We start from the raw sequence: 11,577 nt of genomic DNA on the forward strand, positions 1-11,577 counted from the left end.
CCTTTGAAATTCACCCAATAGTAAATCATTTTGTGATGTGGATTCATTTGCTTTACTTCCAACAAATTGTACTTTTGAAGTAATTCCATCATTATATTTCTAAATTTATCTTTTTTACAATGAACCTATTATGTATTATATAGTGATTACTGATAAGGTAAAGGCTACTAGAAAAGTTTTATTACCAGTGTATTTTTCAATTACTTGTTAATAATGTCATACTTTCTTCTAGTGTTATAATTCCAGTGTTAAAATTTAGCCCAATTATTTAGTTGTTTGTTGCTATCACAGACCTAGACATCATAAAAAGTCAAAGATTAAAAACATTTATGCCTTCTCTTTGAAGAAAATATCATTGTAATGCTCTGGTATTCTACTTTCTAATGGACAATTTGTGTGAAGGAGCAATGACTCGTAATGATTCTACCAGCAGATATTTGTCCCCCATAGTGGAGTGGCCAACCTGGAGTCATAAAAAGAGGGAATACATGGTCCCTGTTCAGCTATAGAGGGGACAGTTTTATAATGCAGTTTTGTGTAGTGGAAGAAACAATGGACATAGGGTCAAAAGATATGAATTCTAGTCTTGGTTTAGTCCTTTGACCCCTGTCTGTCCAAAAATAATTGCCTAACCAGAGCTGTTCTTCAGTTTTTGCATCTAGAGAGAGACAGTTCATCTTTGTCCTCCTTGCTCTGTTGGATGGTAATAAGATTAAATAATGTATGCAAAAATATTTTGTAATCACAATTTCACTGTAAGGGGCTTACAATATAAAAATAAAAAAACACTGAACAGTTCTATGCCACCTACATGTGCAGAGACATGAGACATATAGGCCCCAGAGAGAGAGAGAGAGTAAGGAGAAAAAGATTTTTTTTTTTTTGAGATGGAGTCTTGCTCTGTTGCCCAGGCTTGAGTGCAGTGGTGCGAACTTGGCTCACTGCTATCTCCACCTCCTGGGTTCCAATGAGGAAAAAAGATTTTCTAAAGGACATGGGTTTTATTTGTCTTTGAAAAATGAGTGGTGTCTAGGGAAGAGGAGTGTAGAACAGAGTTGAGAGGAGCAATATCATCAGAGTCAAAATAATGGAATGAAAATGCAGTGTGGAAATTACAGTAACACAGGCTTTATTCAAACTTTAGAAGCTCAAAAATTATCAGGTAGCTATGAAGCCTGGAGTTCTGCATGACACCACTGAACTCGCATTTATTCAATGTTGTTTTTAAAATTCAAATATGAGTATTATAATTAGTATACAATTTTTCCATCAACAATTCTATGATGTTATCACCACTACATCCATAAAGGTGAGGAAACTGGTCTTATAAATTATAAGTCCTTGCCCAAGATAAGTTAGCATATGCAAGAAGTAGGAAATTAGTTTACAACATTTGACTTTAAAAGCCATGTACTTTCTTCTGAATGAGGAAAGAACGTTTCTCCACTCTCTACTCCTAAAAGAAATAAGTATGAATGTAAAAAAGCAGAGACCTAAGGTGTATTAATCACAGGAATTTTCCCAGCCTATTATTTGACAGAAATCATCCATCTAGGTTCCTTACATTATTTTTTTCTTTCTCAGATATCATGTGTGATTTAATGAAGAAAGAGAATCACTCTTTGATGAATGTGTTTATTTTTCAAGGTTTCTCCAGCTTCCGTGAGCACAAGCTCACCCTCTTTGTTGTGTTTCTTACGTTGTACATATTCTCCCTGGCAGGCAATGTTATCATTGTGAGTATCATTAGTATTGATCGTCACCTCCACACCCCCATGTACTTCTTCGTCAGCATGCTGTCAGGTTCAGAGACTGTCTACACCCTTGTCATTATACCAAGGATGCTGTTTAACCTCATAGGCCTGAGTCAGCCCATTTCCTTGGCAGGTTGTGCCACTCAGATGTTTTTCTTCATTACTTTGGCTATCAACAACTGCTTCCTGCTCACAGCAATGGGGTATGACCGCTATGTGACCATCTGCAACCCCTTGAGGTACTCAGTCGTCATGAGCAAGAGAGTGTGTATGCAGCTGGTGTGAGGGGCCTGCAGCATTGGCCTAATTGTAGCAATGACACAGGTGTCAGCTGTATTCAGGCTGCCTTTCTGTATTCCAAAGGTGCCTCACTTCTTCTGTGACATCCGACCTGTAATGAAGCCCTCCTGCATTGACACCACAGTCAATGAAATCCTGACTATGATCATCAGTGTGCTGGTGATCCTCATTCCCATGGGCTTGGTTTTCATCTCCTACATCCTCATCATTTCTACCATCCTCAAGATTGCCTCTGCCGAGGGCAGGAAAAAGGCCTTTGCCACCTGTGCTTCTCATATTACTGTGGTTATTGTCCACTATGGCTGTGCCTCCATTGCTTACTTCAATTCCAAGTCAGAGAACACAGAGATCAGGATCAGCTGATCTCAGTGACCTACACTGTCATTACCCCGTTACTGAACCCTGTGGTGTACACTCTGAGGAACAAAGAGGTCAAAGATGCTCTGTGCAGAGTGATAGGTCAAAAATTCTCCTAAGAGAATAGGCCCATTTCAAATAGTGTCTTAGAAGATTTTCTAGAGAAGAAACAGTGGAACAGTGTGCATGGTCAATAGAGTTAAAAATTTCAAGCCTATCAAGCAGTGGTTGGGCGAGAGGAAGAGAAAACAAAAGGATTCAGCCACTTGAGAAGGGGGAAGGTTCTCCAAAGCACAGCGGGCCTCCATCTCATAAGAGAACAGGGATTTTATAGGTTACAAATGCAGAAGAAAGAACTCAGTGGTGTTGGAAAGTAGAAGCGTTGTGTGGGCAGCCTGGGACAGAATGAAATCAGGAGAGGAGACAGAGTTAATGAGGGGAGGCTGCTCTAGGGCAAGGTTCAAGTTTTTTTTTTTTTTTTTTTTTTTTTTTGAGACAGAGTCTTGCTCTGTCACCCAGGTTGAAGTGCAGTGGTGTGATCTCGGCTCACTGCAAGCTCTGCCTCCCGGGTTCACGCTATTCTCCTGCCTTGGCCTCCCAAGTAGCTGGGACTACAGGTGCCTGCCACCATGCCTGGCTAATTTTTTTTATTTTTATTAGAGACAGGGTTTCACCGTATTAGCCAGGATGGTCTGGATCTCCTGACCTCGTGATCCGCCCGCCTTGGCCTCCCAAAGTGCTGGGATTACAGGCGTGAGCCAGCGTGCCTTGCCGGTTCAAGTTTTAAATATATTCTATAACACTGTTTTTTGGATGTGGTGTTTCCCCTTACCCATTTAGCGCTAAGTAGATTTAACACCTAATTGAATTAATTTCTTTATGGGAAATTTAAGATTTTTTAAATCGACTAGACACTATAAATAAAATGAGTATCAGAGATAATAGCAATCTATAAAATTCAGCAGCCCTTGAAATCTAGGTCTTTTTTATATAAGTTCCAAATTGACCATGTGAGAAAATGGATATCTAAGTTTTCAGGATCCTGTTTTAGAAATATTTTTGGAAAGTAACTAAAACCCCTTGGTGATAGAGTAAAAGAGGTAGCACCAAGTAATAATATTGGCATTTATTTTATGAGAATATACAAAGGTTGTTGGTGATATTGTATGTGAGTGTCTAAACCCAGGGTAAAGAAATTAAAATTTGCCTTTAGAAATCCTTGCAGAACAGAAAGAAGCAACTAGTGGATGAGAGTCAAACAGGGAATCTAGAGCATGGATTAATGGAATGAGAGGATTGGGAGGATTAAACGGGTAAGGAAAATGTAGCCATCTAGTAACTCAGTAATTCAACAAAAGAAAAAGACTCATCAAACCATCAATCCTACCATTTAAAATCCTCTAGGATGTGAACTAATACACCATGCTTCACCAGTCATCTCCACTTCCAGCAACTCCTTTCCCTACAGTCTGTCGTCCACATCCACATAGCGCACAATCCAACAATACCTAGTGACTGATCGTTTCCCATTTTATTCTTATGCCTTAATACAGCTTGTTGGTAATGAAAATCTCTTACTGATGCCCTCACTGCCCACTCATCAGAGTGTTCTCTGGTTCACTTTGAAATAACCTGAACACCTCTATTTTTATGAACCCTCTGATGAGATACCCACAAAGAAACAAAAGCACTCCTTCCACGCCTTCACATCACAACCTCCAAACACATATTGATATAAATGACCACAATGAACATTTCCCATGATGTCTTAACGGATGAAAGCATGAAATGGGTAGTGTGTGATGTTGTAACTGGGTGAAGTCTTACCTAGATGGACAGTTACACCTGCTGTTTAGTGTCTCACTTGTACCAAGTGATGAGTTTTTCATAGGACACATTCTCCTTTATGTTAATTTCAAAAGTTAGGGCTATGTTCAAATATCTTAATTTATCAAATAGTCCGTTATGGTTTAGTCTTACAAAGATTCAACTACATTTTTGAGGAAATTTATGGTGAAATCCAAGAGAATCCAAAATGAAGTTACCCTGTAATTGCCAGTGGTCGCTTTTACTTTTACTCAGTAAATAAAAATATCTTATTTTTATTTCAAATTGTAGCCTCAAAAATGCTGCCCTATACCGTCAGCCTTCTCAGTAATAGATAATCTATATTTGCAAACTTAGCTACTTAAAATATTAGGCAGAAGTTTTGAGAGAGCAGCAGAATGAAGCAGAAAGAACATAAACATTTGAAGAAAAATACTCTATTTTCAGGCCTGGCTCTATTTTTTATAAACCATATATATTTGAATGAACTATTTAATTTATTTGAGCCTCAGTTTTCTCACCTGTAAAACTTATATTCAAAGTTTGTTGTCAAACACATTAAATAATAAGTATAAAAATATTATGAAGCAGGGTCAGATATTCTTTATTCTTGTTAGAGTAAAACAGCTACACTCCCCATAAAGTGAATCTTTTCTTATCTGCAAAATGGATTTACTAATCTTTACTCTGCTTTTTTCTGTCAGGTTCTTGTAAGAATCAACCACTTTAGAATAACCACAGTAGAAACTGCTGTGATAACGCAAAAAGTGTTAAGAAATATTATGTATGATTATCATTATCGCCACTGTTATTAGCTAACATAGTCCATATATGTTTGCCTCTCTGATTTTTCTTGGCCATTTTATATTATTTTATTAATTAATTTTTGACTCTTACCTTCCTCCCACATACCTTTAAGTTCTAATTGCTATCGCATTTTTCATTAACTCTGCAGGTCATATTATTTTGGTTCCTTACAAAATAACATTTCCAAAACTTTTCATTATTATATTTTGTTAGCAATTCCAGAATTTAATGCCTATCCTCCTGCTCCAAATTGAGCATCTTTTTTCTTTCCTACTAGATCAGTGAATGTTAATCTCTTTATCATGATCCATGGCCCCCAATACAAAAATGCATGTTATCACATAACCCAGTATGTGTGTTATACACACATATACAAACTAAAATGCTACATTCACAAAACAGTACTTAGCCTTACAGCATGCAATGCATTCTGATGTTTCTCATTAAAGTCTATTCTGTTCAATTCTTTTTATTTTTGTAATAATGTTAATGAATAGAAGTGCATCTAATATACATTTTGACCAAATGCTCAATAAGTGAGAGTTAAAAATCTGTGTTCAGCTGAAGTCAGAGTTGATGCCCAATATCAGCAGACTGTTTTCCTGTGTTACTAAAATAAAATTGAAATCTTATTTTAAAACAATGAAATTTAATTATTAAACATTTAGTAATTGAGTTTAAACATTTGAATTATTTGAGGAAGAACATTTAGTCTTCATTGTCAGATTCTAGAGTCTTCTAACAGTCATTAAAACACATATTCATGATACCAGGTACATGTTCACTTTTCAACTGAGAAACTGAGATTGGTGGCACAGCAAAATATCTTGGGGGGAAATAGCTTATTTTTCTGTAGCTTTTTTTCTTCTTTTTTTTGTAAATATGGATTAAAAATAATTTATCTTGGATATTATCTTTTATGATTTTGGTGGCAAAATTAGAATCCTGTGTAAATTCATCTGGAAAAGTTGTAAAGATTCATGGCTTAAGTGGATTTAAGAAGCTAAAAATTAATACAGTGTTTAAAACTAGTTCAATATTGCCAAACAATTTTAATTTTATAAATATTTATTGAGTCTACAAGGATATAATATGCTTTCTAAAGCTATCTAATAACCAACACACTATCTCTTATATTTAAGTGAAGTAGTCATTTCTTTTCCCATTTATTTTACTACATAAAACTCTTAAGTTTGTCCAGAAAATTAACAACTCTCACAATTATCATAAATTTATTATTGCATTTTGCTCTTTCAATAATAAATATAATGTATATTTTAATTGACTGATAAAATTTCAACAAATAAAGCATATAAAGCTAACTCTAAGTGAGAGAATGACTAACTATATTTGACAATGCATGTTCAAATTTTTAAAAATCCAAATGACTCTCTTTATTCAGATTACTGATGCTGTTAGACTGATTAGAGCTAATAACCTATGGTATCACGTGATAATTTTTTCATCTAAATATTTAGAGATGCCCAAAAAATGCCACGGAAGAAGGTTTTCAGCCATTGAGTTTAAAGGGTGAAGCCAATATAGCAAACAAATAGCAGATTTTTTTCTAAATACCAAAAGCAAATTACACTGATGTATCCCTAGCATGACCCACTACATTCAAGGAAAACAAAGAATATGGACGCCGTAAGAGAATATTCCAAGTGAGTGATTCACTGAGTTGGCTGAAATGGTAGGCAAGCATCTGAGAAGTAGGCCTCCTCTTCTTTTTATTCTTTTATTCTGAAATGATGGTATATTAATCAGTATTTTTCTGATTCAAAAGCCGTACATTCTCTGTGAAAAAATTCAGACAACTGTAAGGAAGAAAATGGAAACTCTGGGCTTTGGATGTTTACTATGGCACACTGAGTACAGATATCATTTCTTCTCTCTGTACTCCCCAACCCTGCCCCTACCAAACCCTAGAAGTGATAGGAAAGATTTAAGTAGTATTTTGGCCAGTGCTTAAAAACAAAAACGGAATTCCTAATGAACCAGCAACTATGAGGTAAGAAATGAAGACTCAAAACAATGCAGTTAGATTGATGAGCCATCTCAGAAGTATATGAGAGTTAAAAGTGGAGTCCAGTAACAAAAGTTGAGGCCAACACAAAAGTTTCTTCATATCCTGAGGTGAAGAAAAATAAAAAATAATTTAGGACTCCAGGGGAAATTAACAGGGGATATTAGCCCAGAGAAAGTAGTCCTCCCCATCACATCTTGCTCCCAGACAAGCAGAAATAGACAGTGTTGGTGGTTTCCAGTTGAGAACTATGCTTGGAAAGAGGGGCATGGCAGAGCACAAGAGTTTGGCAATAACAAAGATGTAGGGGATAAAGAACAGGACAAAAATGCAGGAGAAAACAACTAGATACTAGAAGTATTGAGCTAAAAAGTATTATTATTTTATTTTTTATAAAAGTATTTGTTATAAGAAAAGTAAACTCAAATCTCTCATCCATCATAAAGCTACACATACTGGATAATACCATTATTTAGAACAAACAAAATTATAGGAATTATGTTCAATATAATTTAAAGGTAGAGAGAATTCTGATTAAATACAGATGTTAAATGCCCATTATTTGCTTCTTTTTCTTAAGAACCCTGTTAAACTTGAGTTAAGAAAGAAGATAGACTCACTTCCATAGCAAAAGAGAATAGAAGATGAAAGCAAATGGAGCTCAACAAAATTTTGGAATCTGGAAAGCCCATTAATAAACCATTATTGACTCAGCACATAGGAGAATGCTGATTAAAGCCTGAGGCAGAGAAAACAACAAAAATGCCAATTTATCACCCAGAATGCCAGAAGTATTCAAAAGCCGAAAGTAGTATCTCTGAACATAAGACTGTGCAATTGGCATAACAAACCAGAGTTGCTTGAAAGTTTTTAAGACACGTCGCACAATCAGAACCTCACCCCAACCTCAGCAGAAGGCTGGAGAGTTACTTTCCGGAAAGACTTGCAGAGATGAAGTGAAGCAGAGGGTGCTATGGAATAATAATTTTTAAAAAGGTGGAGGAGAGGTAAAAGAACACCAGCAAATCTCACAAGATACTGACAATAAGGGTTATAGCTATCAATTAGGAAAGTGAAGAATTTTGCCCTGTGGAAACCAACCCAAATGTCCATCAGTGATAGACTGGATTAAGAAAATGTGGCACATATACACCATGGAATACTATGCAGCCATAAAAAAGGATGAGTTCATGTCCTTTGTTAGGGACATGGATGAAACTGGAAACCATCATTCTCAGCAAACTATTGCAAGGACAAAAAACCAAACACTGCATGTTCTCACTCTTAGGTGGGAACTGAACAATAAGAACACGTGGACACAGGAAGGGGAACATCACACACCGGGGCCTGTTGTGGGGGTGTGGGGACGGGGGAGAGATAACATTAGGAGATATACCTAAGGTAAATGATGAGTTAATGGATGCAGCACACCAACATGGCACATGTATACATATGTAACAAACCTGCACATTGTGCACATGTGCCTTAGAACTTAAAGTATTAAAAAAAAAACTACAAAAAATAAAAATAAAAAATAAATAAAACTCAGAACACAGCCAGGCACAGTGGCTTACATTTGTAATCCCAGCACTTTGAGAGGCTGAGGCAGGTGGATCACCTGAGGTCAGGAGTTCAAGATCAGCCTGGCCAACATGGTGAAACCCCGTCTCTACTAAAAATACAAAAATTAGCTGGGCATGGTGGCACGTGCCTGTAGTCCCAGCTACTAGGGAGGCTGAGATGGGAGAATCTCTTGAACTGGGGAGGCAGAGGTTGCAGTGAGCCTAGATGGTGCCACTGCACTCCAGCCTGAGCAACAAAGGGAGACTCTGTCTCAGAAAAGAAAAAAAAAACTCAGAATACATCATCCCAAAAAAGCAATGTCACTAGCAACATGGTAAACATTAAATTCTCAATCTGTGTGTTGTGTGAAAAAAAAAGAATAAAAAATAAAAATAAATTTGCAGACTAAAAAAAAAACAACAGAATTTTGCCCTGTGGAAATTAGCATTTCAAGGGCAAAGACTTACAAATCTAGACACTTTGAAGTCCTATTTTGGAAAAGTAACCTTACCCTAATAAAACTAGCTTCATCACATTGCTTGGTTTTATCACGCTAGTAAATAAAGCCCAGCAGTCTGCATATCCCACCCCACCACACACACACATCTACATGCACACAGAGCTTTCTAACAATTTGTTAGTACATCACTCTTAGTTATTAATGGACTTGAAAGGATCACCACAATTTGAAGAAAGCCATTAACTTAAAAAAATCAATGTAATAAATAAATAACAAAGAAACGTGGGAGAATAAGCTATAGTGCATGGTATAAAGTCTTTTGAAAGATAAGTATTTAACATTTTTAAAAGGATAAGACAAGATAATGGTGAAATAAAGCAGAATATTATACAAAAGCCAAGTTCTGAGACGCAGAAAGAAATTTTACAAATTAAAAAAATACGTTAGCAGAGACAGTGTGAGGGGAAGATGGCTGAGTAGGGAGTACTAGGAAAGTGTTTTCCCACCTAGAAAACAACTATGCTGGCAGAATCTGTCTGATGTAAATATTTGGGAACTATGGCGTCTATTAAAGGCTTGCAACATCCAGAGGAAGGTATGAACTATAGTTAATTCTAGTCAATTTCAGCTTTAAGGACAGTAGCAGCTACCCACCTGCCCACAACCAGCCACCTGGAAGACAACCTTGCACCTGTGCCGGGAGCAACCTGCACACAGCTTGCAGGAGCCAGGGTTACCCTGTCTTGCAAATATCAGGGATCTGTGCTCTGATCACTGATTGTTACTTCTGATCATAGACATACAAACAAAGAAGTAAGAGTTGTTCCATCTCCCCTGTGTTATTGCAAGCTCCTCCTTCAGCTGATGTGACTTCCAGGGGATTTAAAGGGTCAGCACCTCTCCTTCTCTTTCATTTTTCTTTGTTTTTCCTTTGGAGAGTCAGACATTAAAGACTAGGGCATTCAAAACCAACTGCATTTACAGGGAAAATTAGAAAGTAATCATCCATGCTCAGGGAAGGGTGCAGGCTCAGAAAAGACTTCAGAAGACCTTAAGTTTATACCCCAGGCTGATCTTTGGGACAAAGCTTACAATAACAACAACAATAATAAAAATAACAAAAAACAGCAAACTCTGGGAAAGAAAATAGTCTAATTTCTAGAGTTACCACATTATTAGATTCATGTCCAATAATCAATAAACAATGAAAAGGCATAAAAAAACAGGAAAGTATGTCCCATTCAAAGGAAAAAAAATAATGGAAACTTTCTCTGAAAAAGACATAATGGCAGGTCTACTAGACAAAACCTTTAAAACAATTGTCTTAAACATGCTCAAAGAGCTAAAGAAAGATATAGGGAAAGTCAAAAAATGCCATATGAAAAATTAGAAATATTAAGAGAAAACCTAAAAGGAAAAAGAAATATTAGAGTTGAAAATTACAATAAGTAAAATGAAAATCCATTTGAGGAAGTAAAAGATTTGAGCAGGCAAAAGAAAGAATCAGCAACTTGAAGATAGGACAATGAAAATCACTGAGTCTGGAAAAAAAAATTGAAGAACGGTAAACAGGGCCTCAGAGTCCTATGAAACACCATTAAGTGGACCAGTATACATGCTGGGAGTTCCAGAAGGAAAATGGATAAAGGGGTTGGGGGACTATCTCAGAAATAATGATGGAAAACTTTCCAAATTTGGTGAAAGATGTTAATATAAATATCCAAGAAGCTTAAAAAAGTATAGACTCATACCAATACACATTATAATCAAACTTTCAAAAGCCAAAGACAAGACTATCTTTAAAGCAGCACGAAAAAAGCTACTGTCACATACAAACTATCCTCAATGACATTGTCATCAGACTTTTCATTAGAAACTTTGGAGGTCAGAAGGTAGTGGGCCAATATATTCAAAGGGCTAAATGAAAAGAACATCAACACAGAATTCTATATCCAGGGAAACTTTCCTTCAAAAGTAAAATAAAAAATGTTTAAAACTTTTTATTTTTTATTTCAGTACATTTTGAGGGGACAGGTGTGTTTGGTTACATGAATATGTTATTTAGTGGTGATTTATGATGTTTTGGTGCACCCATCACCTGAGCAGTGTACACTGTACCCGGTGGGTGGTCTTTTATACCTCACCACCTCCCACTCTCTCCTCTGAGTCCCCAAAGTCCAATTTATCATTCTTATGCCTTTGCATCCTCACAGCTTAGCTCCCACATATGAGTGACAACATACGATGTTTAGTTTTCCATTCCTGAGTTTCTTCACTTAGAAAAATAGTCTCCAATTCCATCGCGGTTGCTGCAAATGCAACTATTTTGTTCCTTTTTATGGCTGAGCAGTATTCCATGGTGTGTGTGTGTGTGTGTGTGTGTGTGTGTATACATAAAATATATATATATGTGTAATATAGTTTACCACATTTTCTTTATTCACTTGTTGATTGATGGCATTGGGGCTGGTTCCATATTTTTG

General features: G+C 36.5%; 1 pseudogene; it reads left to right on the top strand.

Annotated features, from left to right (window-relative positions):
* On the top strand, positions 1,602-2,527 carry OR10J8P (olfactory receptor family 10 subfamily J member 8 pseudogene; annotated as a pseudogene).

This window comes from Homo sapiens, chromosome 1 (genome assembly GCF_000001405.40).
Source record: "Homo sapiens chromosome 1, GRCh38.p14 Primary Assembly".
Lineage (NCBI taxonomy): Eukaryota > Metazoa > Chordata > Mammalia > Primates > Hominidae > Homo > Homo sapiens.